This window comes from Homo sapiens, chromosome 19 (genome assembly GCF_000001405.40).
Source record: "Homo sapiens chromosome 19, GRCh38.p14 Primary Assembly".
Taxonomy (NCBI): domain Eukaryota; kingdom Metazoa; phylum Chordata; class Mammalia; order Primates; family Hominidae; genus Homo; species Homo sapiens.
In genome coordinates this window covers 48983291-49008399 of record NC_000019.10, presented here as the reverse complement: position 1 = coordinate 49008399, position 25109 = coordinate 48983291, and the positions used below count along the sequence as shown (strand labels likewise).

Sequence of the window (25109 nt, the reverse complement as noted above, 5' to 3'; positions counted from 1 at the left end):
GCGTGGTGGCAGGTGCCTGTAGTCCCAGCTACTCGGGAGGCTGAGGCAGGAGAATGGCATGAACCCGGGAGGCAGAGCTTGCCGTGAGCTGAGATTGTGCCACTGCACTCCAGCCTGGGCAACAGAGCAAGACTCCATCTCAAAAAAAAAATTATAATAAAATAAAATAAAAATAAAAAATAAAAATAGTAAACAAACAACATGCCTAAAAAATAAAGTCTATCAAAAACAACATAGGCCCGAGGTCTCGCAAAATTGCCAAATGTCACACTTTGACATTCCTATTTTATACCCAAATAAAAAGTGTTTTTGTTGATCACAAAATCAGAAAACACAGCTATGCAAAAAGGAGAAAACAGAAATTGTAAAAAAAAAAAAAAAAAAAAAAAAAGAGGCCAGGTATGGTGGCTCACGGCTGTAATCCCAGCACTTTGGGAGGCCAAGGTGGGCAGATCACGAGGTCAGGAGTTCAAGACCAGCCTGGCCAACATGGTGAAACCCCGTCTCTACTGAAAGTACAAAAATTAGCCGGGCGTGGTGGCATGCACACACCTGTAATCTCAGCTACTCGGAAGGCTGAGGCAGAAGAATCACTTGAACCTGGGAGGCAGAGGTTGCAGTGAGCCGAGATTGCACCACTGCATTCCAGTCTGGGGGACAGAGGGAGACTCTGTCTCGAAAACAAAAAAAAAAGAGAGAGCAAATCACCTGTATCATGTAAGATGGACAGGACATGCCTTTCGGCCACGGAACGAGTTTTGAAGTCTGTTGGGTTTTGAGGTCTGTTGGGAACTCACTAACAGATCTCTCTCATTATTTTACCGCCTCAGTTTCTATTGCCCATAATGTCCTTCATAAGGGGATAAGCCATTGTCAAGTTAACTGACCTCCTACTGTAGGCATGTACATGGCTCTAGTCTGCAGCTAGAACATTCCATGGGATTCTGACCTCAGTGCAGACCTGATATCTACTCTCTCCAACCCTGGCGCTGGAGGTGGCCTCAGCAGGGTACAGACTCACACAGACTCACCGTCCCTGTTGCTGGTCGATCAATCTGGATCTCCACCACCTCCCCTTCGATGATCTCCGTCTCCTCCCTAGCCAGAGAGCAGATCTGAGGAGACAGCCTGACACCTGGACCCTCGGGAATCACAACCTTCCATGAGCTCTGGGACAAAGGACGAGCCGCCCGGGGTGCGGGGTTGCTCCCAGGCTCTGGGGTCTGGCACCCGCCTCGGGTCCCCCGCTTACTTGATGCGAACGCCGATGGACCGCCGGAAGGCCTGCGTCAGCGCCTCGGTCTTGCTCATCTCCAGGGAGAAGATTTCACTGCCGGCGATGGCTGTGAATGGCGTGTCAGGGCCCAGGGCCTGCGCCATGCCTGGGAAGGAGGCAGTCTGTGTAGGTGAAGCCGCTCTGGCACCAGGTCCCCGACACCTGCTCTGTGGCAAACTAGCTTTTCTCCCACCCCAGGAAAGAGGGTTCAGTGCCATCCTACATGTAAGGACTTGGCTCCGAGCTGAGCAGAGCGCTGGGGAGGGGGAACTGGAGAGCGGGGTTCAGCCATGAGGCAGACAGTGAGTGAGAAGCCAGGCAGGGCAGGTTGCTCCGGCAGGCCTGGCTTAGAATCCCACATTGCCCAGAGGGTACACCCTAGAACCTCGCCACACCTCAGTCTCCCAGCCTCTACGAGCTGTTTAGCCTCAGAGCTGGACGAAGGGGACCAGGGACGAAGGCCAAGGAGCCCACACGATAGCTACAAGTGATGAAGGCAGACTGCCTCGGCTCCCATCCCAGATCCACCACTTAAGTGCAGGTGGCGCCGTGGGATCTTGAGCGATCTGAACTGCTCCCTGAGCCTCAGTCTCCCCCTCTGTCTAATGGGGATGATAACAGAACACGTGCCAGCATGGGATGACACCCTGCTTAGGAGTGACTATGGGCAGGCAGGCAGGCAGGCACTGGTGCTCAGCAGTAACACGGTTGCGCAGCCTGAAACTGGCACAGGGCAGGACGCTCTACCGCCGGTGGCCTGGGGTGGCTGGCAGGAAGCAGGTCTGTCTCCAGCAATAGCTCTGAACGCCAGACCTTTCCTTCCAGTTCCCTGGCCACAAGGTTTGGTCCAATGTGGGGCACGCCCTTTCAGACAGGCTGACACCACACCCTCCTGCCCAGTGTCAAGTGGGACCTGTTCTTAGTCCTCTTTGCGGATACACAATGGCCCTCATCACAGAACTCAGCAAGTATCTGCTGAGGGCTGAGTGGACGAGCACGGCCCATGCCATCTGGGGACACCAGGGGTCCTCTCTGCCTCTTTCACTAGACTAAGAAGCGTCCCCGCCAGGGCGAGGCTAGCCTCACCCCAGTGCTGCCCAGCACAGGGTTTGGCCTGCAGGAGGCCTGCGGGAGACACAAGAAGAGGAAAGGCGAGGCCGGGCACAGTCACAACATGCCTAAAAAATAAAGTCTACAGGCTCCCGCCTGTAATCCCAGCACTTTGGGAGGCCGAGGCAGGGGGGTGGATCACCTGAGGTCAGGAGTTCGGGACCAGCCTGGTCAACATGGTGAAATCCCATTTCTACTAAAAATACAAAAATCAGTTGGGTGTGGTGGCACACATCTGTAATCCCAGCTACTTGGGAGGTTGAGGCAGGAGGATCACTTGAACCCAGGAGGCAGAGGTTGCAGTGAGCGAAGATCACACCACTGCACTCCAGCCTGAGCGACAGAGTGAAACTGTCTCAAAAAAAAAAAAAAATGAAGAAGAGTAGGAAAGCAGAAAGGATGGAGGGAAGGAAGTTACTGTGTGTGCCACATTCTGGGCCTGGACATGCTGTCCCCAGTGTCCGCCCAGGAGCCTCCTGGCCATCCTACTAGGCTTAGCTCAGGTATCCGCTTCTCTGGAAGCCTCTAGCAACAAATGCCACCACATGCCCCGTTTTCCTACCAAGGTCAGGAGCCTCCTCTGTCACATGCTACCTGCATTGTAACACATGTCGCCTTGGAAGGGATCGTGTCCATGACCACCTCCTCCAGACCAGGAGCTCTTTGAAGTCAGGCCTTGGTCTAACTCATCTATGGGTCCCCAGTGTCCAGTCCGAGCACCCCAACAGGCACTGCTTTATCTTCACTGAAGACCTGGCTGTTACTCTGATTCTCCCTGCCTGGCCCCAGCCTCAGCACAGAGGTGGGAGTGAGTGGGAAGAGCAGTGGGTTAGGAAAAGCTTCAATGGGGCAGAGATGCTGAAGTAGGGTTTTGAAGGATAAATAGGAGTTCAACAAGGAAGAAGAGGAACAGCTGGGAGTGAAAAGATCATAAACCACTAGCGGACTGCAACAAAGACTGCTGGGTGACTCCTCAATACCCACCTTCCCCTTCTTCCTTAGTTCTAGAACCCTCATTTTCTTTCCTGTTTTTTTTTTTTTAATTTTTTATTTTTACAACAACCTTTTGCCCAACAGAAGAATCCTCATTTTCTTAAGGCAAAAATGGTCCAAATTATGAAATTTTAAAAAACATTTAATGTGCCAGCCTCCCCTGAAGCAGAGTGTGATCATATGATTACATTCTAGTCAATGAGATAATGAGATATAAGCAGAAGCATGGAGGATTTCCAATGACTGTTTAAAGGAAGCCAACTCGAGGGGGTTCATCCTCATGGCAACTCCTTTCTTCCTGCTGCCTGGGTTATGAGTGGGAAGGCTGGAGCTCTGGCAGCCCTCTTGGAACATGGCGTCCTCTTGACTGGAACCAAGTGCAGAGGATGGTGAGGCAGGAAGATGGAAGACTTCCTGGAACTGCTTAATAAGCCCCAAATGGCCTACCTCTAGATTCTTCCATGGGCAAGAATGAATCCTGAGTGTTTAAGCCACTGCCATTTTGGGTCATCTGTTAAAGGCGGCTCATCCTGACCCTGACTTACACAGGAGGAGTTATTTAGCAGGAAACAGGAGAGTTCCTGCCCTGGGAGGTTTCTTACCCATGGCGATGGCCGTCTTCCCCGTGCCCGGCTGGCCAGCAATAAGGACTGCCCGACCGGCAATCTTCCCTTCCCGGATCATCTCCAGCACCACGCCAGCCGCCCGCCGTGCCGCCAGCTGACCCACCATGCCTTGCGAAGCCTGTGGGTGGGAGGCGCACATGAGGTGATTTCCTGTGGGGCTACCATGGCATTTCTACCACATCAGGAAGCTAGTGAGATGGAAGCAGACATTACTAGCTGGGACTTCTAGGAAAAGCCAAAAAAGCTTTCCCTGCTTTTTTTTTTTTTTTTTTTTTTTTTGAGACAAGATCTCGCTCTGTCACCCAGGCTGAAGTACAGTGGTACAATCATGGCTCACTGTAGCCTTGACCTCTAGGGATCAAGAGATCCTTCCACCTCAGCCTCTTGAGTAGCTGGGACCACAAATGTGCACCACCATGTCCAGCTAATTTTTAAAATTTTTTGTAGAAAGGAGGTGTCACTATGTTACCCAGGCTGGCCTCAAGCTCTTAGGCTCAAGCAATCTTCCCATCTCAGCCTCCCAAAGTATTGGGATTACAAGTGTGAGCCATTGCACCCAGTCTAACTTTTTTTTAAGGTGGCAAAGCAATTGCTACCCACTCCCAATTCTTTTTTTTTTTTTCCGAGATGTCACCCAGGCTGGAGGGCAGTGGCACAATCTCGGCTCATTGCAACCTCCACCTCCCAGGTTCAAGCAATTCTCCTGCCTTAGGCTCTTGAGTAGCTGGAATTACAGGCATGCACCACCATGCCCGGCTAATTTTTGTATTTTTAGTAGAGACAGGGTTTCACCATGTTGGTCAGGCTGGTCTTGACTCTGACTTCAGGTGATCCACCCACCTTGGCCTCCCAAAGTGCTGAGATTACAGGCATGAGCCACCACACCTAGCCTAATCAATTCTTTAGTACCAAGAAAACCCACATGTGGTTGAAGTTTATGGGTATGTAGCCAAAGGTCCAGAAGACCGTAACATAGTCCCCACACTCCCCAGGACCCTGGGTACCCACTACCCAAGACCTTCATGGAGAGGCCCTCACACCCCAGCCTCCTCTGCTCTACCTGCCGAGGCTCCAAGGCATCGTCCAGCCCCAGTCCCCGGATGTGGGAGTGGGCACCTACATGAAGGGAAAGAACAAAGACTCAGTTACTAGCCAGCTTGCTGCACATGTGGCCTGACCCCTCTGAGCCCTGGTTTCCTTCTTTGTCAAAGGGGTGGGTGGGAGTAGGGAGCAGGGGTTGGGGGAATGAAGGGGCACATGGAAAGGATATCCCAAATTGGCACCTCCCTAGGAAGATGGCTGAATGTGGTAAATGCTCAATGAACTGGAGCTGCTCTGAGGATGCATCCTAGTTAAACAAAAGTCACTGAGGCCTGATTAAGCACATAATTGTACTAAGATCTAACCACAAGGGCTAATGATCACAATTACTTCATGTTTATGGTTTACACAGCACCCACATGTTCTCAGTTTATTCCATATGATCCTGCAAAAAAAGAGCCCTGGCTGGGGCCGGGCGCAGTGGCTCCTGCCTATAATCCCAGCACTTTGGGAGGCCGAGGCGGGCGGATCACTGGAGGTCAGGAGTTCGAGACCAGCCTGGCCAACATGGTGAAACCCTGTCTCTACTAAAAATACAAAAATTAGCTGGGCATGGTGGCAGATGACTGTAATCCCAGCTTCTCAGGAGGCTGAGGCAGGAGAATTGCTTGAACCTGGGAGGCGGAGGTTGCAGTGAGCCAAGATTGTGCCACTGCATTCTAGCCTGGATGACAGAGCAAGACCTGTCTCAGTAAAACAAAATAAAATGAAACAAGAGCCCTGGCTGCTATCACCCTGAAAGCACTTCTGAGTATCAAAATGGCAACAGTCCCAGAACCTATTGATATGAATGGGGAGGGAGCTCAGAGAGGTTAGGTCCCATGCCCCAGCCACACAGCCAGCGAGAGGGGAAGATGGGATTCCCATGCTTTACATTAGATGAGGGTTGAGCAAACCTCAGCCTGGAGGCCAGCCACCTGTTTTTGCAAATAAAATTTTATTGGAGCTGGGTACGGTGGCTCACGCTTATAATCCCAGCACTTCGGGAGGCAGAGGCAAGCAGATCACCTGAGGTCAGGAGTTCGAGACTAGCCTGGCCAACATGGTGAAACCCCGTCTCTACTAAAAAATACAAAAATTAGCCTGGCGTGGTGGCATGCACCTGTAGTCTCAGATACTCGGGAGGCTGAGGCATGAGAGTCACTTAAACCAGGGAGGTGGAGGTTGCAGTGAACTGAGATCGCCCCACTGCACTCCAGCCTGGGCAACACAGTGAGACTCCATCTCAAAAAAAAAACAACAAAAAACCAACCAAAAAATCTTTGTATTGGAACACTGCCATTTATATACTGTCTGTGGCTGCCTTCGCACTGCAAGAGGAGAGTTGAGTAGTTTCAACAGAGGAAGGATTTACCATCTGACCCTTTAAGAAAGATTTGCTAGGGTCCAGGCGTGGTGGCTCACGCCTGTAATCCCAGCATTTTGGGAGGCCGAGGCAGGCGGATCACGAGGTCAGGAGATAGACACCATCCTGGCTAACACAGTGAAACCACGTCTCTACTAAAAATATAAAAAATTAGACGGCCGTGGTGTCAGGCGCCTGTAGTCCCAGCTACTCGGAAGGCTGACAGGAGAATGGTGTGAACCCGGGAGGTGGAGCTTGCAGTGAGCCAAGATTGCGCCACTGCACTCCAGCCTGGGGGACAGAATGAGACTCCGTCTCAAAAAAAAAAATAAAATAAAATAAGGAAAGATTTGCTGACCCCAGTGCTTGACTGTGAGCACCCCAAGGGAGGCTCCTGGGTGCAGCTAGTCTCTACTGGGTCCTCAGCTCACAAGCGGTGCTTGGCTCTTCATCCTTTTTTTTTTTTTTTAATTTTTTATTGTTTTTTGGCCAGGCGCGGTGGCTCATGCCTGTAATTCCAGCACTTTGGGAGGCCGAGGCGGGCGGATCACGAGGTCAGGAGATCGAGACCATCCTGGCTAACACGGGGAAACTCCATCTCTACTAAAAACGCAAAAAAATTAGCCGGGCATGGTGGCGGGCGCCTGTAGTCCCAGCTACTCGGGAGGCTGAGGCAGGAGAATGGCGTGAACCCGGGAGGCAGAGCTTGCAGTGAGCCGAGATTGCGCCACTGCACTCCAGCCTGGGCGACAGAGCGAGACTCCGTCTCCAAAAAAAAAAAAAAATGTTTTTATTTTTATTTTTTGAGAGAGCGTCTCACTCTGTCACCCAGGCTGGAGTGCATGGTGCAGTCACATCTCACCACATCCTGAACCTCCTTGGTTCAAGCAGTTCTCCCAAGTAGCTGGGACTCAGGCATGGACCACCACTGCCGGCTAATTTTTTTATTTTTTTTTTAGAGACAGGATCACACTATGTGACTCAGGCTGGTCTTGAACTCCTGATTCAAGCAATCCTCCTGACTCCACCTCTCAAAGTGCTAGGATTACAGGCGTGACCCATCATGCCCGGCCATACTTGGCACTTTTTGTTTGTTTTTGAGATGGAGTCACTCTGTCACCCAAGCTGGAGTGCAGTGGCACGATATTGGCTCACTGCAACCTCTGCCTCCCAGGTTCAAGCCATCCTCCCTAGTAGCTGGGACTATAGGCATGCACCACCATGCCTGGCTAATTTTTGTATTTTTAGTAGAGACAGGGTTTCACCATGTTGGCCAAGCTGGTCTCAAACTCCTGACTTCAGGTGATCCACCCGCCTCGGCCTCCCAAAGTGCTGGGATTACAGGCGTGAGCTACAGCACCCAGTCTCGGCACTTTTATTTATTTATTTATTGAGAGACAGAGTTTCACTCTTGTCACCCAGGCTGGAGTGCAATGGCATGATCTTGGCTCACTGCAACCTCCACCTCCTCGTTCAAGCAATTTTCCTGCCTCAGCCTCCCGAGTAGCTGGGATTACAGGCACGCGCCACCACGCCCAGCAAATTTTTGTATTTTTAGTAGAGACGAGGTTTCACCATGTTGGCCAGGCTGGTCTCAAATTCCTGACCTCAGGTGATCCGCCCACCTTGGCCTTCCAAAGTGCTGGAATTACAGGCATGAGCCACTGCACCCAGTGCCCCAGCACTTTTAATAGATGAAACAGTGTTGGCACACAGACCCAAAATGCTTTATATGAACTACCTTACTGAATCTTACATTAACTGATGAGGTAAACTATCTTAGCTTCGTCTTGCAGATAAGGAAACTGAGGCACAGAGAGGAACTAGTCCCTGGCCACATGGTGGGAAAGTGGCAGAGCTAAGCTCCAGGAATCCAGCACTGGGCTTCTAAAACCCATCTTCACAGCCAGAAGCCCTTACTGCCTTTCTCGGATGCCCTGAATCAGTGAGCCTGCTGCATGAATGAATGCGGTCACTTCCCTGCCGGTAAAGCTCTTTGTGAGAGCGCACCCTGCTGGCCTCACTGCGTCTCAACTTCCTGCTCTGTGTGAGCCGGGGCCAGTGATTTAGCTGTCCTGAAAATCAGTTCCCTCAGCTAACAGTTACAATATGCACCTCATGCGGCTACTGCGAGGGCTCCACAGGACGCAAACTCGTGCATTCAATGGTTATCTCTTGATCATCTGCTCTGTTAGGTCCTGTGCTAGGGACACAGCTAGGAATGACACGACCTCGTCCCTGCCCTCAGGGAACTCACCCCACAGTGTGTACTGGGTATACGAGGCCAAACCCAGTAAAGCACCCAGTAAATATCTATGACTTCCAGGCAAACATACCCGGGAACCCCACCAGGATAGCCAGGATAGCAGCCTGGTCCCCAGTGCATCATCTGACCCAACTCTGGAACTGAGGATCCTCCTCCCCCATTAGATAGGGCGAGTGGGGGAATGGTAGTGGGGGCACAGTTGGTGTGCAGGCCACCTCCCTCTCCATCTTAGGGGTCCTCAATAGGTTTGCTCTGTCAGGGCACATGGCAGGCAGGGCTTAGGTCCTATTCCTGACCCAACTCACTCACCGATTCGCTCAATCCTTGTTACATCACGGATCTCCGGGACTTTGGTTGTGGCTGTCTGGGGGTGCAAGAAGATGTGTCAGAGGACTAGTGTGGTCCCAGCTTTCACCAACCCCTCCTCTGTCCCTCCCATGAGATGGTCCTTTCCACTCCTTCCCCTCACAGGCAGGCGATGGGACAGGCACCAGTCACCCCCACCCCTCTTGCCTGTCACTGCCTAATGGCTGGTTGGTTGAGCCCCAGGAAGACAAGGACTGTCTGTCTCATCGACAGCTTGGTCCTCAGGGTCCAGCACATATTTGGTTATTTGGTGAATGAATGAAATCCTCCCTGTTTCTTTTTTTTTTTTTGAGATGAAGTCTCGCTCTGTCACCCAGGCTGGAGTGCAGTGGCCCAATCTCGGCTCACTGCAACCTCCGCCTCCTGGGTTCAAGAAATTCTCTGCCTCAGCCTCCTGACTAGCTGGGATTACAGGCGCGCATCAACACACCCGGCTAATTTTTGTATTTTTAGTAGAGATGGGGTTTTGCCATGTTGGCCAGGCTGGTCTCAAACTCCTGGCCTCAAGTGATACACCAGCCTTGGCCTCCCAGAGTGCTGGGATTATGGGCGTGAGCCACTGTGCCCGGCTAAGTCCTCCCCATTTCTTTTTTTTTTTTCTTATTTTTTGAGACGGAGTCTGCTCTGTCGCCCAGGTTGGAGTGCAGTGGCCCGATCTCAGCTCATTGCAACCTCCGCCTCCTGGGTTTAACCGATTCTCCCGCCTCAGCCTCCTGAGTAGCTGGGACTACAGGCGCACACCACCACACTTGGCTAATTTTTTTTGTATTTTTAATAGAGATGGGGTTTCGCCCATCTCTACTGGGGTTGGCCAGGCTGGTCTCGAACTCCTGACCTCAAGTGATCTGCCCACCAAGGCCTCCCAAAGTGCTGGGATTACAGGTGTGAACCACCGTGCCCAGACAAGTCCTCCCCATTTCTAATAACTGTGAGCTCCATAAGGACAGACACCAATGAGGAGCAGGCATGGAGCTGGACATGCTCTGGCCCCTGCTAATTTCCCAGCATCCCTTGTACCAGGCGGCCCCAGTTCTCAACCACCAGGCCTTGCACATGCTGGCCCCTGAGTCCAGACTGCTCTCCCTGCCCTCTCACTGAATTAGATCAAGTGCTGCCCCCTAGGGGAGGCCCTTTCTGTCCAACAGCCCTGCCAGGCTAGTTCTAGGACCTCTAGACATTCAGACAGATGAAAGGCCTCCCTGGGAGCCCGATCTCCCTGTGTGATCTCACATTCCCGAGGGAGATGGATGGATCAATATTCTCTGCTCCAGTGGACATGAGTCCCATGAAGGGCACGGCCTGTTCTCTCTTGTTCACCTCGGGACTCAATGTCTGTGGTTTGCTAAGTGATACTCTAAAGTGCTGAGCTCATTCAACAAGAATATACCGAGGCTTCCCATGTTGACAGTTCTCCACAGAGAGGAGCCAGCTACCACCCCTTCTCACATGGGGGAGGGAGGTGAGTAAACACCACCCGGGACAATTCAGGACCCCCCCAGAGGTCCACACAAAACATGGACACGAGTGTTCACGGCAGCACTATTCACAACAGCCAAAAGATAGAAACAACCCACATGTCCATCAGCTGATGAATGGCAAAATAAAACAGGGTCTATTTGTGCAAAGGAATATTATTCAGTCATAAAAAGGAATGGAGTTCTTTTTTCTTTTCTTTTTTTTTTTTTTTTGAGACATAGTCTCACTCTGTCACCTAGGCTGGAGTGCAATGGCGCAATCTTGGCTCACTACAACCTCTGCTTCCTGGGTTCAAGTGATTCTTCTGCCTCAGCCTCCCGAGTAGCTGGGATTACAGGTGTCCGCCACCACACCTGGCTAATATTTTTTTGTATTTTTTAGTAGAGATGGGGTTTCACCATGTTGGCCAGGCTGGTCTTGAACTCCTGACCTCAGGTGATCCACCTGCCTTGGCACCCCAAAGCGTTGGGGTTATAGGCGTGAGCCACCGCGCCCGGCCAGGAATGGAGTTCTGATACATGCTACAACGTGGATGAACTTTGAAAACATTATACTGACTGAAAGAAGCCACACACGAAAGACACATATGGTATGATTCCATCTATATGAAGTAGCCACAATAGGCAAATCCATATACAGAGAAAGATTAGTGGCTGCCTAGAACTGAAGATGGGAGGTATGGAAGGATTAGCGGTGACAGGTAAGAGGCATGGGGTTTCTTTTTGGGGTGACGACAATGTTCTAAAATTGACTGTGGAAATGGCTGCACAAGTCTGTGAATATACTAGAAAACACTGAGCTGTATACTTTAAATGGGTGAATTATGTAGTACGTGAATTCTATCTCAATAAAGCTATTAAGAAAAAAAAAAAACAACAGGCTGGGCGTAGTGGCTCCCACCTGTAATACCAGCACTTTGGGAGGCTGAAGCAGGCAAATCACTTGAGGTCAGGGGTTCGAGACCAGCCTGGCCAACATGGTGAAACCCTGTCTCTACTAAAAATACAAAAATTAGGTCAGGCACGGTGGCTCACGCCCGTAATCCCAGCACTTTGGGAGGTCAAGGCAGGTGGATCACTTGAGGTCAGGAGTTCGAGACTAGCCTGGCCAACATGGTGAAACCCAGTCTACACTAAAAATACAAAAAATTAGCCAGGCGTGGTGGCAGGTGCCTGTAATCCCAGGTACTTGGGAGGCTGAGGCAGGAGAATTGCTTGAACCCAGGAGGCGGAGGTTGTAGCGAGCAGAGATCGCGCCACTGCACTCCAGCCTGGGCATCAGAGCAAGACTCTATCACTAACACACACACACACACACACACACACACACACACACACAGATACAAAAATTAGCTGGGCGTGGTGACGCGCACCTGTAGTCCCAGCTACTCAGGAGGCTGAGGCAGGAGGATCATTTGAACATGGGAGAGAGGCAGAGGCTGCAGGGAGCCAAGATCACACCACTGCACTCCAGCCTGGGAGACAGAGTGAGACTCTGTCTTGAAAAAAAGAAAAAACAAAAAAACAATCCTGGATGGTGGATCTTTGCATGTCTGTTACATTATTTTCTGACACTTTGGAATAGTTCATAATTTCTAATAAGGAAAAGGAAGCCTAAGAAGCTAGCATGCTAACCGAGGCCACCCATCCCCAGGTCTCCTTCCTTCCCACAGGTTTGTGTTTTTTTTTTTGAGATAAGATCTCATTTTGTCCCCCAGGCTGGACTGCTGTGGCCTCCACCTCCCAGGCTCAAGCAATCCTCCCACCTTAGTCTCCCAAGTAGTTGGGACTACAGGTGTGTCCCACCACACTTGGCTAATTTTCTTCTCTTTTCTTTTCTTTTTTTTTTTTTTTTGAGACACAGCCTTACTCTGTCACCCAGGCTGGAGTGCAGTGGCGCGATCTCGGCTCACTGCAACCTTCGCCTCCCGGGTTCAAGCAATTCTCCTGCCTCAGCCTCCAGAGTAGTTGGGACTACAGGCATGTGCCACCACGCCCGGCTAATTTTTTTTGTATTTTTAATAAAGACGGGGTTTCACCATATTAGCCAGGCTGCTCTCAAACTCCTGACCTCATGACCTGCCCGCCTCGACCCCCCAAAGTGCTGGGATTACAGGTGTGAGCCACCGCACCCGGCCTAATTTTCTTATTTTTTTGTAGAGACAGGGTTTCGCTATGTTGCCAGGGCTAGTCTTAAATTCCTGGGCTCAAGCAATCCTTCTACCTCGGACTCCCAAAGTGTGGGATTACAGGCGTGAGCCACTGTGCCCAGCCCACAGGTCTTTCTTCTCTTCTTCCCCTAGAGAGGACATGCAGTTATCCAGCCCAGAGGAAGCCTCCTCCCTCTGGAGCCAATCGTTTAGACTTTCTGGCCATCAATGGTCACAAGCTTTCCCTGTCACTGTGTGAACCTTCCCACCTACCGTCTCCTATAGGAAGCTGGAACCCAGGAGCATAGAACATTACCCCCAGACTACAAGCAGAAGACTAGGCATCCCCACCCCACAAAAAAGACATGAATCCAGGAATCCCAAATGTAGCTCTCTCAACATAAACAGGCCCCTTACCAAGGACTGTCTCCTATAAAGACTTTCTCTTTCATCATAAGTCTCTCCAAAACCTTGCTGCCCGCTGTTCCCATGAAAACCAAGGTCATTTCAAAACTCAGCACACACCGTCCCCTCATACTTCCAATACTTTCTCCACGGTAGTTCTGGTCATAGCCTTCCTCTTCTACTTCCCTATCCACCTCCTCCTCCTCCTTGCCCTGGTGACAGCAACAGACTCAAATCTCATCCCCAGCTACCAACAACTTTCTCCCCCTCCCTTCCTCCATCTTGACTGGGCTCATCATGGAAATTGAGGCACCTGTAAGCCCAGCCCAGTCCCTAAGTTCAGGTCACATTACCTTTTTTTTTTTGGAGACAGAGTCTCGCTTTGTCGCCCAGGCTGGAATGCAGTGGCGCGATCTTGGCTCACTGCAACTTCTGCCTCCCAGGTTCAAGCGATTCTCCTGCCTCAGCCTTCTGAGTAGCTGGGATTACAGGCCTGCACCACCACACCTGGCTAATTTTTGTATTTTTAATAGAGACGGGGTTTCGCAATGTTGGCCACGAACTCCTGACCTGAAGTGATCCGCCCGCCTCGGCCTCCCAAAGTGCTGGGATTACAGGCATGAGCCACCACGCCAGGCCAAAATCGCTTCTTTATTCAGGTAATTGAGCAGGTGCCAGGCCAAGTTTCCTGGCCTCTCCTTCATTCACATGTATTCATTCATTCAAATATTCAAGTGATAATTTATTGAGCATTTACACTGAGACGTAGCCCGTGTGAAATACTGGAAATATGAAAATGGCCAAAACGGTAGCATGACAAGATCCCGATTTCTGGGTCCCTAATCCTTCAGTCCTCTCCACTAAGACTCTCTTGTTCCTCGACAATTTCTTCCCACTAAAGGCTCACTAGGCGCCCTCGCGCTCTCAGACACACTGAACAGGTACCTGCCTGTGCTTCCAGCTTGGAACTCAAGTGCCATTGGCACCACTAACAATCCAAGGCTCCCAAATGGCTCGAAGCGCAAGGTCCTACAACCCTCCTCATCACACACTGGCGCCAAGGACTGCGGAACCGGCCGTTGCGCCAAGATGATTTTGAAAGTTGGAGTTCCTATAGCATGATGGGGCCAGACCCGAGATTCTGGGATCCCAGCCCCCTCCCCGCCTCAGATCCAGAAGTCCAGCCCCCATGTCCCCTTCTCCCCCAGATCTGGGTGGCCGAGCTTCCTCCTCTTTCAGACCCAGGAGTCTGAACCCCCAGATCCCCCCTCCCTCAGACCCAGGAGTCAGGGCCTCCAGCATCCTCCTCTCTCAAACTCGAGACTGCTAGCTCGCTCCTCACCCTCCATGCACCCACACTTACAACGGTTGCCATGATGCTCACCAACTGCCAGAGTCCTAGCGGAAACGGAAACGCGCGAGGAGCGAGATGTTCTGGCTCCTCTAGGCTAGCTGGTTCTTCAAAGATCTCGATGGTTCCTCATAAATATGTAAATATTGTGGGGGCGTGGCGGGACTTTATGCCCCGCCCTCCCACCGAGGCTGCGCTGGAAGACGGGCGTCCGGAACTCCTGGGTCCATTCCCAATGTCTCCTGGCTCCTCCTCCTTTTGCTCAGCCCCACCACCGCCCCGCTCAGGCCGATTGCAAAATTCTTAGCTGTTCTTTGAGTAACCACACGTCCTCCACGCTCCTTTCCTCTTTATCCCACCCTCCTCCTCCTCCCCACTTTGAGGCCTCCAGCTCCAGATTGACAGAGCTGAAGGCCACTCGTTTCCGTAAAGCGCAGCGGCAAGCTCCGCCCCCTGGAGGTCTCACGGCCGAGGCGGGGCCGGGACACAGCGACTCCAACCCGTTCCACCAATGAGGACACGCGGAAATCCCCGCCCCCGGGCGTGGGCCAATGGCGCTGGCTGGGGGGGGCGGCCACCGCCTCCTGGCGGCTGCGAGGTTTCACTGCAGGGGCGCCAGTGGGCTCAGTGACGCTGCGGCCTCCTTCTGCCTAGGTCCCAACGCTTCGGGGCAGGGGTGCGGTCTTGCAATAGGAAGCCGAGCGTCTTGCAAGCTTCCCGTCGGGCACCAGCTACTCGGCCCCGCACCCTACCTGGTGCATTCCCTAGACACCTCCGGGGTCCCTACCTGGAGATCCCCGGAGCCCCCCTTCCTGCGCCAGCCATGCCTTTAAACCGCACTTTGTCCATGTCCTCACTGCCAGGACTGGAGGACTGGGAGGATGAATTCGACCTGGAGAACGCAGTGCTCTTCGAAGTGGCCTGGGAGGTGGCTAACAAGGGTGAGCACGCCAGGCGTCGGGGCCCTTGACGAGAAGGACAGTAGTGGATGGGGGCCCGGAACTCTGAGTTGTAGGAGGACGGGGCTACTAGGGGAACCCTTGTGACCTGGGCAAGGAGGCTGTGTCCTTGAGGAGGGGCTGGGAAGCCGGAGGTGGGTGGGAGAGGGATGGTTCGTTTGACTTAAGATGAAAGGAGGCTGGAAGCCCGGGTTCTGGGTCCTAGGGAAGAGGGCGCTAAAATGAGACTCCTAGGTCCTGGAGGCAGGCTTCCGAGAGACTAGATACCTGGGTCCTGAACAGGGAAGGGGATGGGGGGATGGGATTTCTGCGTGCAAACCTGGGAAGCTGCCGGGGTTTCAGACCTATGACCCTAACAGCATGGTCTAGGGGATAAAACTCCAGATTTGAGAGAGAGCTGACTGGGAGATAGGAGGCCTGAGCGGCGGTGGGAGGACCTGAGGATCTGGCTGCTTAAGAATAAAGATGGGACGGGCTGGAGACTGTAATGAATGCCTGGGCTTTGAAGGAGCTGAGGGCCTGAGCTATTAGTTCCTAGGAGTAGAGGAGCCCATGGCCTGGGACACATGCGTACTGGAATAGGGGAAGGCTGGGAAGTCCTAAGTTAGTCAGAGGCTGGGCCCTAGGATGGGAGGGGCTAGGAGCCTGCATTTCTGTGTCTTGGGCTTCAGAAAGCTGAGGTTCTGGCCTTGGAGAAGGCTGGGGCTGAAATCCCCAGGAACAAGCCAATCTCACACCTCAAAGAGCAGGGTCTGGGGGGTTGCTTTGCTGGGTCTTGGAGGAGAAAGGGACTGTGTCTCCCAGGAGGAGAGGGGGCCCGTGAACACCCAGCCGGGTATCGCCAGGGCCTGGGCTCCAGGATGGGAGGAGGCTGGGGGCTGGGGCTCCTGGGTCTGGGATAGGGTCATGGGAGAGGCAGAGCCCTGCATGCTGGTGTCCCTAGTCAGGGAGAGGAAATTGGGAGGCAGGTCAGCAAGGTCCCTGGGGGCAGGGAATGACCATGCAGGCTTCTCTTGGGCAATGGTGAGAAGCTGGATTGGCCATGAGGGGGTCTCCCTCACTGGGTTTTGGAGCCTGGCTGCGATTTAAACCCAGCTCCTGTGAGCTGGGAACTCGGGAACCTGAGTCCGGGTAGTCAGTCCTCAGCTCTGCCATCCTTAGAGCCCCAGTGCCTAATTCCTTCAGACCAAGGGGTCCCGGCACCCAGCCCCTTCTCTCTCAGACCCAGAAGTCTAGCCTGAGCCCCCTCCTCCTTCAGGGTCCTGACCCCAGCCCCCTTCTCCCTTAGACCCAGGAGGACTGCCCTCCAGCCCTCGTGTTCCCCTCATCCAAGCTTCCAACCCCTACTCCAAACTATGGGCTCCCAGTCCCCTCTTCCCCCTGAGCTAGAGGTCTGGGGCCTGAGTGCCCCCTACATCCCCGGCCCACCCCACCCCAGGCCCCAGAACTATGGACCTCGGCCGGGGCCTGCCCTCACACGCTTGGGCCCACAGTGGGTGGCATCTACACGGTGCTGCAGACGAAGGCGAAGGTGACAGGGGACGAATGGGGCGACAACTACTTCCTGGTGGGGCCGTACACGGAGCAGGGCGTGAGGACCCAGGTGGAACTGCTGGAGGCCCCCACCCCGGCCCTGAAGAGGACACTGGATTCCATGAACAGCAAGGGCTGCAAGGTGGGACGTGGCCCAGCCCAGGGCAGAAGCGGGTGGACAGCCTGCCATCGGGGTGGGAGCCACAGACGGAGAGGGTGCAGGGTGGACAGCCCCAGCCAGAGAGCGAGGCAGGCTTGGACACAGGAAGGAGGCGTGATAGGACACCCAGACAGATGCAGGGCCTGGAAGTGGGTGGGTGGATCCCAGACATGGGCGAATGGACAGACAGATGGCAAGTATGAGACAGACTGAGACGGAGATCCAAGAGGCCAAGGTCCTCAGACCCAGAGAGAAAGAGAGCAAGATCGAAAGACAGCCTGGTCAACATGGCGAAACCCCGTCTCTACCAAAAATACAAAAATTAGCTGGGTGTGGTGGCGGGTGCCTGTAATCCCAGCTACTCGGGAGGCTGAGGCAGGAGAATCGCTTGAACCCGGGAGGCGGAGGTTGCAGTGAGCTGCGATTGGGCCACTGCACTCCAGCCTGGGCGACGGAGCGAGACTCTGTCTCAGAAAAGAATGCCAGCCAGCCAGGCAGAGCTGGGGAGAAGTGGGCCTGAGGTCAGGAAGGAGCAGGATTCTGGAGCTTGAAGTTCAAGTTCACCCTCCACTTGCTGCCTGTGTGTCCTTGGCTAATGGACATGCTAATAGCGTCTACCTTCTAGCGGTGCTGGGAGGAGGAAACAGTTAATAAGGACAAAGTGGTTAGTAGAGTTCTTGGCATGAAGGTAGCACATTGTGTGGGCGGTGATTGTCATTGTTATGATCATCGTCATTATTGTTACTAACAGCCAAGCTTGGAGAGTGAGGGGGACAGGCAGACCAAGGGAGAAGGGTGGATGGAGCCACAGGCAAGAGTAATAGACTGGGGACAGAAGAGAGGCCACCAGATGTTTCAGAAAGCCAGTCCTAGAAGGAGAGAGAAGCATGGAATATCGGGGAAGAGAGGAGAGGTCAGTGGACAGACCCACAGGACAGAGTCTGAGATGGGCAGATCAGGGATTAGAGAGGAGGGGGAGTTCCAGGGCCCCAGGGTGAAGACGGAAAGAGACACGCTGTTGTCCAAGGAGAAAGCCATCAGGCGGCACGCTGTTGTCCAAGGAGAAAGCCATCAGGCGGCAGGGCTAAGGGACAGACAGGTCCAGGCTGGGGATGGAGAGGCACTGTGGTTCCTTTACTCATTCACAGCCTCTGGTTTGGGGTGGGGTCTGGAATCCATTCAGGTCCGACTGTGTCCCTAAGGGAACCCAGAACAGCCCAGTCGCTTCCTGAGGGCAGCTGCTTCCCACGTGCTGGGGGCCTAAGAATAGCCCCCCCCCCCCCCCAGCAAAAGGGCAGACAACAGCTGGGAGGGGGAGGGACCTCAGAGCGAGGCTCCAGGCAGCAAAAAGCCAGGTCGGCGAGGAGCGGGGCTGCTTCTCCACTGCTGTGGCAGCAGGCCCAGAACCAAAGCCATGGTCTCAGGGAGGAAAACAGCCAACTGGAGAAATGTGGCAGAGGCAGAAGTGAGACAGCAAGTCTTAGAAACACGGCAGTGGCTAGAAAAATGCAGCCCTGGGGCACGGACAGAGGATGGGCTATGTTAGAAATGTGTGGCGTGGCCGAGGGCGGTGGCTCATGCCTGGAATCCCAGCACTTTGGGAGGCCGAGGTGAGAGGATAGCTTGAGCCCAGGAGTTCCTGACCCACCTGGGCAACATGGCGAAACTCTGTCTCTACTAAAAATACAAAAAATTAGCCAGGCATGATGGTGCGTGCTCGTGATCCCAGTTACTCAGGAGGCTGAGGTGGGAGGATGGGATGTGGAGGCTGTAGTGAGCCATAATTTTTTTTTTTTTTTTTTCAGATAGAATCTCACTCTGTCGCTGAGTCTGGAGTGCAGTGGTACAATCTCGACTCACTGCAACCTCCGCCTCCCGCGTTCAAGCAATTCTCCTGCCTCGGCCTCCCAAGTAGCTGGGACCTCAGGCACATGCTGCCACGCCCGGCTAATTTTTTGTATTTTAGTAGAGACAGGGTTTCACCATGTTGCCCAGGCTGGTCTCAAACTCCTGAGCTCAGGCAATCCGCCCGCCTCGGCCCCCCAAAGAGCTAGGATTACAGGCGTGAGCCACCGCGCCCAGCCCAGTGAGCCATGATTGCACCACTGCACTCCAGCCTGGGTGACCGGAGTGAGACCCTGTCAAAAACAAAAACAAACAAAAAAAAATGGAAGAAAGAAAGAAAAAGGAGAGAGGGAGGGAAGGAGGGAGAGAGGGAAGGAAGGAAGGAAGGAAGCAAGGAAGGAAGGAAGGAGGCTGTGGACTACAAAATGGGCCTATGGATAGAGGAAAGAGGTCGCAGGTGACAGATATGTGATGAAAGGAACAGAAACAAGGCATCATGGGGAAGAAAAGTGGCAGCATGAACAGTAAGAGAATCATTACAGGCTGGGTGCAGTAGCTCACGCCTGTAATCCCAGCACTTTGGTAGGCTGAGGCCAGGAGTTTGAGACCAGCCTGGGCAACATGGTGAAACCCTGTCCTTACAAAAAAGTTAAAAATTAGCCGGGATGTGATACCTTGTGCCTGTGGTCCCAGCTACGTGGGAAGCTGCGGTGGAAGGATTGCTTGAGCCTGGGAGATCGAAGCTTCAGTGAACCGTAATTGCACCACTCCCTTCCAGGCTGGAGGACAGAGCAAGACCCCGTCTCTGAAAATAAAAAAGGGCCTGCTTTAGGTGGCTCACACTTCTAATCTCAACACTTTGGGAGGCTAAGCAAGAAAACTGCTTGAACGCAGGAGTTCACGATCAGCCTGGGCAACATAGTGAGACCCCATCTCCACAAAAAATTAAAAAATCAGCCTGGCATGGTGGCCCACGCCTGTAGGAGGTGAGGTGGGAGGATTGACTGAGCCAGGGAGGTTGAGGCTATAGTGAACCATGTTCACACCACTGCACTCCAGCCTGGGCAACAGAGCGAGACCCTGTCTGAAAACAAAAAAGAAGCATCCCGTGGAAGGAATTAGCATCAGAAAGAAAAGACAGTGGGAGATGCAGATGGTTGGTAAGAGAAATGTGGCAGCAAGTACAGAAACAAGGCAGCAGGTAGGGGAAATGATTTGCAGAGTGGCCAGACAGGGCAGTGGGGGCATAGACACAGGACATGTGACATATGTGGTTATAAGCAGAGAAAGGAGGCAGCGAGTGGGAGAAGGGTAGCAGTTACAGGAATTAAACAGGAGGCTGGGTGCGGTGGCTCACGCCTGTAATCCCAGCACTTTGGGACGCCGAGGCGGGCGGATCACAAGGTCGGGAAATGGAGATCATCCTGGCTAACACAGTGAAACCTCGTCTCTACTGAAAATACAAAAAAAAGTAGCCGGGCGTGGTGGCGGGCCGCTGTAGTCCCAGCTACTCGGGAGGCTGAGGCAGGAGAATGGTGTGAACCCAGGAGGCAGAGGTTGCAGTGAGCCGAGATCATGCCACGGCACTCCAGCCTGGGCAACAGAGCCAGACTCCGTCTCAAGAAAAAAAAAAAATTAGCCAGGTGTGGGAGCGGGTGCCTGTAATCCCAGCTACTTGGGAGGCTGAGGCAGGAGAATTGCTTGAACCCGGGAGACAGAGGTTGCAGTGAGCTGAGATCGCACCACTGCACTCCAGCCTGGGCCACAGAGTGAGACTCCATCTCAAAAAAAAGAAAGAAAGAAAGTAAGCAGGGGGCACGGAAAATATTGCAACAGAGATGGAAAAAATGTGTAGCAGGAATAAATCATGCAAATAGAGAAGTAAGGCTAAGGCAGCAGGTGAGAAATTAGCAGCAGATATGGAAACAGAAGATAAGAGAGCTGAGGCTTAAGTCTATAGACATCTGCCTGCAAATGGGAGAACCACGGATGAGTGAAGATATGAGGCTGAAGCCCAGAGCCTCCCTATGGTGCCTCCCCAACCCCATCCCAGGTGTATTTCGGGCGCTGGCTGATCGAGGGAGGCCCTCTGGTGGTGCTCCTGGACGTGGGTGCCTCAGCTTGGGCCCTGGAGCGCTGGAAGGGAGAGCTCTGGGATACCTGCAACATCGGAGTGCCGTGGTACGACCGCGAGGCCAACGACGCTGTCCTCTTTGGCTTTCTGACCACCTGGTTCCTGGGTGAGGTAGGCCCCGTCTGACACATTCCACCCATACCTGAAACTACAATGACCATCAGCCCCTGGGCCAGAGGATGGGCTTCTCCCTGGGCATTCTGGGAGTCATAGGGTCCTTTAATCCAAGGATTAGCTCTGGCCTTTGAGGACATGAACATCCAAGGGCCCAGGCTCTACTCTCGATGCCAACTTCATTTACTCTAGTCTTCCAAGCATAGGGATTCTTGGAATCAGCCTCAAAGTGAGGCTGGCGGGCTTGCCCGAGGAATTCTAGGAGTTGTAGTTCTCTAGTGTGATATTGCTGGACTCAGCTCTCAGATGCTGCCCTGGATGCTCATGAATCCCCAGCCTGACCTGGTTTTGACCCCCTTCTAGGTTTTAAGAGGCTCAAGAAGCTTAGTTTCCAGGCTGGGCACGGTGGCTCATGCCTGTAATCCCAGCACTTTGGGAGGCCGATGGGGGAAGATCACGTGAGGCCAGGAGTTCAAGATGGCCAAACCTCGTCTTTACTAAACATACAAAAAAATTAGCTGGGTGTGGTGGTGGGCACCTGTAATCCCAAATCCCAGCTACTTGGGAGGCTGAGACAGGAGAATTGCTTGAACCTGGGAGGCGGGAATTGCAGTGAGCTGAGATTGCATCACGGCACTCCAGCCTGGGCCACAGAGTGAGACACTGTCTCAAAAAAAAAAAGAAAAAGAAAAAAAAAAAAAGAAGCTTAATTTCTCATGCCCTGGGACAAATAATTGAGGAACTGGCTGCTCCTATGGCATTCTGGGAGTTGTAGTCCCTTTGCCAATGTTGGGTGCAGACAGCGTACCCTTGAGACAAGGGGTCTTTGGAAACTATGTCCAGGACCTGGGAACATGAAAACTTCAGTCTGTCCAATCTAACCCTGCCAGGACTTAGATGGTTGGCCAAAAAATCCTCAGTTCCTGTCAACCCCTGAGGAGGCAGTCACTTGAGCCCAGGAGTTCAAGACCAGCCTGGGCTGCCTCAGGGATTTACAGGTCCCTGTCCGGTTGGGATTGCTGCAGTGGGCCGCTGCCCACTCTGTGCAGTAGTGGTGACAGATTGACCTCTCCCCGAGTCCTTGTCCCTACTGGGGATTGCCGATTCTTTTCCCAACACTCGTGGAGACAGTGGCCCTGTCCCTGTTGCCCACAGTTCCTGGCACAGAGTGAGGAGAAGCCACATGTGGTTGCTCACTTCCATGAGTGGTTGGCAGGCGTTGGACTCTGCCTGTGTCGTGCCCGGCGACTGCCTGTAGCAACCATCTTCACCACCCATGCCACGCTGCTGGGGCGCTACCTGTGTGCCGGTGCCGTGGACTTCTACAACAACCTGGAGAACGTGAGCTGGGACCGTGGCAGATGGGGGACTGCGAGTATGCCAGGAAAACCCAAAGCTCTGGGGGGCCCAAGGGGATGGCACCCCCTCTTCTCCCAGGATCCAGGAGTCCAAGTCCCCAGACCCCTCCTACCTCAGACCCAGGAATCCAGCCCCCAGCACCAATTTCTCTTGGGACCCCAGTGTCTGGACCTCCAGAGTCTTCTCCCCAATCCTTCTAACCGGACTGCTGTCCCCTCCCACCCAGTTCAACGTGGACAAGGAAGCAGGGGAGAGGCAGATCTACCACCGATACTGCATGGAAAGGGCGGCAGCCCACTGCGCTCACGTCTTCACTACTGTGTCCCAGATCACCGCCATCGAGGCACAGCACTTGCTCAAGAGGAAACCAGGTAGGGGCTGGGCTGAAGTCCCCAGACGTGAATGAGGTAGGCAGCTGTCTATGCCAAAGCCAGTTGCTCCTCAGCCCAAGAAGCCCACTGTAAGTTGAAATAGCATAAACCGAAAACGTATTTCGGCTGGGCATGGTGGCTCACACCTGTAATCTCAGCACTTTGAGAGGCCAAGGCAGGAGAACCACTTGAGCCCGGGAATTTGAGACCAGCCTGGGCAACATGGCGAATCCCTGTCTAAAATATTCGCCAGACATGGTGTGTGCCTGTATCCCTAGCTACTCAGGAGGCTGAGGTGGGAGGATTGCTCGAGCCTAGGAGGTCAAGGGTGCAGTGAGCTGTGATCGTGCCATTGCATGATTTGGGTGGCCTGGAGAGACCCTGTCACAGCCTGGGTGACACAGTGAGACCCTGTCTCAAAAAATAAAAAAATGCATTTAATACACCTAACCTACTGAACATCATAGCTTAGGCTAGTATACCTTAAATGTGCCCAGAACACTTTATGTTAGCCTACGACTGGGCAAAATCATCCAATACAAATCTGTTTTATTTTATTTTTATTTATTTATTTATTTTTGAGACGGAGTCTCGCTCTGTCGCCCAGGCTGGAGTGCAGTGGCGCTATCTTGGCTCACTGTAAGCTCCGCCTCCCAGGTTCATGCCATTCTCCTGCCTCAGCCTCCCAAGTAGCTGGGACTATACGCGCCTGCCACCACGCCTGGCTAATTTTAATACAAACCTATTTTATAATAAAGTGTTGAATAGGCTGGGCGCAGTGGCTCACACCTGTAATCCCAACACTTTGGGAGGCCAAGGCGGGCAGATCACGAGGTCAGGAGATCGAGACCAGCCTGGCCAACATGGCGAAACTCCATCTCTACTAAAAATACAAAAATTAGCCGGGCGTGGTGGTGGGTGCCTGTAATCCCAGCTACTCGGGAGGCTGAGGCAGGAGAATCACTTGAACCCAGGAGGCGGAGGTTGCAGTGGGCCGAGATCACACCACTGCACTCCAGCCTGGACAACAGAGCGAGACTCCATCTCAAAAAATTAAAAAAAAAAAGTGTTGAATATCTCATCAAAATCCAAAATTGGACTCATGTGGATGTATGTAACTTTCACACCATCATAAGGTTGAAAAATCATAACTTGGCTGGGCACGGTGGCTTACACCTGTAATCCCAGCACTTTGGAAGGCTGAGGTGGGCAGATCACCTGAGGTCATGTGCTCAAGACCAGCCTGGCCAACATTGTGAGACCCCCTCTCTGCCAAAAATACAAAAATTAGGTGGGCATGGTGGCAGGCGCCTGTAATCCCAGCCACCCAGCTACTCGGGAGGCTGAGGCAGGAGAATCTCTTGAACCCAGGAGGCAGAGGTTGTCGTGAGCCAAGATTGTGCCATTGCACTCCAGCCTGGGCAACAAGAGCGAAACTCTGTCTCGAAAAGAAAAATCATAACTTGGACCATCCTAAGTCCTAAGCTGGGGACCATCAGTTACCATTTTTTTACCTAAAGAATAGAGAACTACAGCTCCCAGAAGGCTGTGGGGGTGGTGACCTGTATTTGAGGCTCTCTGACTATATACTCTGGAGGCTAATGGGAGGTATAATTTCTTTCATATTAATTTCAGATATGATAAAATTCTGTAATTGGCTAATGTAGATTGGTCTTATGAAAGGGAATGGAAGATCAGTGGACTTTGCTTTTGAGAAAGGTTAGGTCAGAACTGGGCATTCTTCCCAGCCCTTAGTATCCGTTCTCAGTGAGTATAAGGTGAGAACTACAACTCCCAGAAGGCCTTTGACTGGTTAGCTCTATATGTTCCAGAACTTTGCCCTAGGCGCTGATGGGGGTTGTAGTTTTTCGTTGATATACTTTAATTTCTATGAGGAGAAGAAATGATTGGGTCCCTGTAAGAAGCTTGGAAGTAGAGGATATATCCTAGGAGAAGCAGGACTTTGGGGATGTTTAATCATTTCCATCTCAGGGTGGGCTAAGAGGAAACAAAAGAAGTACAACTTTCCCAGAATCACCAGTGTGGATCAGATCCCTGTTAGCCATTTGCAGTAGCTGAGGAGACTTATACTTGTGCTTGTGAACCTAAGCAAGTAATATTAGGCAAGAAGGCATCTTGGAGTCAGGGTAGGTGTGTCACCAAGGGAACT

General features: G+C 52.7%; 2 protein-coding genes across 7 annotated transcripts in view, besides 7 other annotated features; one reads left to right on the top strand and one right to left on the bottom strand.

The window, feature by feature from the left end:
* The window catches only part of RUVBL2 (RuvB like AAA ATPase 2), a 22548-nt gene extending 7596 nt beyond the window's left edge, over positions 1-14952 (bottom strand). For 2 of the 4 annotated variants that reach the window (NR_135578.2, NM_006666.3), the window contains exons 1-6: positions 14477-14513; positions 9027-9081; positions 5066-5121; positions 3982-4123; positions 1253-1382; positions 1032-1098 (exon numbers count right to left, since the gene is read on the bottom strand). Coding sequence is in view for 3 of the 4 variants with exons in the window: in NM_006666.3 (NP_006657.1) it covers positions 1032-1098; positions 1253-1382; positions 3982-4123; positions 5066-5121; positions 9027-9081; positions 14477-14488 (462 nt within the window). In the remaining variant the exon portion in view is untranslated. Of the gene's footprint in view, positions 1-1031; positions 1099-1252; positions 1383-3981; positions 4194-5065; positions 5122-9026; positions 9082-14476 lie in introns of all 4 variants that reach the window. The other 2 variants (NM_001321191.1, NM_001321190.2) reach the window with 2 other exon arrangements.
* Positions 3573-4072: an enhancer, noted in NCBI's record as "H3K4me1 hESC enhancer chr19:49507585-49508084 (GRCh37/hg19 assembly coordinates)". NCBI's record gives its function as "activates a minimal SCP1, AML or CMV promoter by ChIP-STARR-seq in primed H9 embryonic stem cells {active_cell/tissue: H9 hESC(primed)}" and the evidence as "EXISTENCE:reporter gene assay evidence [ECO:0000049][PMID:30033119]".
* Positions 8334-8628: an enhancer, noted in NCBI's record as "tiled region #732; HepG2 Activating non-DNase unmatched - State 17:Gen3', and K562 Activating DNase unmatched - State 25:Art". NCBI's record gives its function as "activates a minimal TATA promoter and a strong SV40 promoter by Sharpr-MPRA in HepG2 and K562 cells {active_cell/tissue: HepG2 | K562}" and the evidence as "EXISTENCE:reporter gene assay evidence [ECO:0000049][PMID:27701403]".
* Positions 14615-14704: an enhancer, noted in NCBI's record as "active region_14923". NCBI's record gives its function as "activates an Ori minimal core promoter by ATAC-STARR-seq in GM12878 lymphoblastoid cells {active_cell/tissue: GM12878}" and the evidence as "EXISTENCE:reporter gene assay evidence [ECO:0000049][PMID:35858748]".
* Positions 14825-15184: a silencer, noted in NCBI's record as "silent region_10910". NCBI's record gives its function as "represses an Ori minimal core promoter by ATAC-STARR-seq in GM12878 lymphoblastoid cells {active_cell/tissue: GM12878}" and the evidence as "EXISTENCE:reporter gene assay evidence [ECO:0000049][PMID:35858748]".
* Positions 15091-25109, top strand: part of GYS1 (glycogen synthase 1) — a 25180-nt gene continuing 15161 nt past the window's right edge. The window contains exons 1-5 of one of the 3 annotated variants that reach the window (NM_002103.5): positions 15091-15405; positions 16917-17098; positions 21015-21206; positions 22365-22550; positions 22795-22939. In NM_002103.5, coding sequence (NP_002094.2) covers positions 15288-15405; positions 16917-17098; positions 21015-21206; positions 22365-22550; positions 22795-22939 — 823 coding nt within the window. In that variant the 5' untranslated portion in view covers positions 15091-15287. The remainder of the gene's footprint in view (positions 15406-16916; positions 17099-21014; positions 21207-22364; positions 22551-22794; positions 22940-25109) is intronic. The other 2 variants (NR_027763.2, NM_001161587.2) reach the window with 2 other exon arrangements.
* Positions 15395-15534: an enhancer, noted in NCBI's record as "active region_14922". NCBI's record gives its function as "activates an Ori minimal core promoter by ATAC-STARR-seq in GM12878 lymphoblastoid cells {active_cell/tissue: GM12878}" and the evidence as "EXISTENCE:reporter gene assay evidence [ECO:0000049][PMID:35858748]".
* Positions 18244-18635: an enhancer, noted in NCBI's record as "ENSG00000104812_19:54184834-54185225 (NCBI36/hg18 genome assembly) insert fragment". NCBI's record gives its function as "drives selective reporter gene expression in differentiated C2C12 myotubes {active_cell/tissue: C2C12}" and the evidence as "EXISTENCE:reporter gene assay evidence [ECO:0000049][PMID:22144875]".
* Positions 19766-19948: a silencer, noted in NCBI's record as "fragment chr19:49491709-49491891 (GRCh37/hg19 assembly coordinates)". NCBI's record gives its function as "represses an EF-1alpha promoter that drives an FKBP-Casp9 reporter gene in an ReSE screen in K562 erythroleukemia cells {active_cell/tissue: K562}" and the evidence as "EXISTENCE:reporter gene assay evidence [ECO:0000049][PMID:32094911]".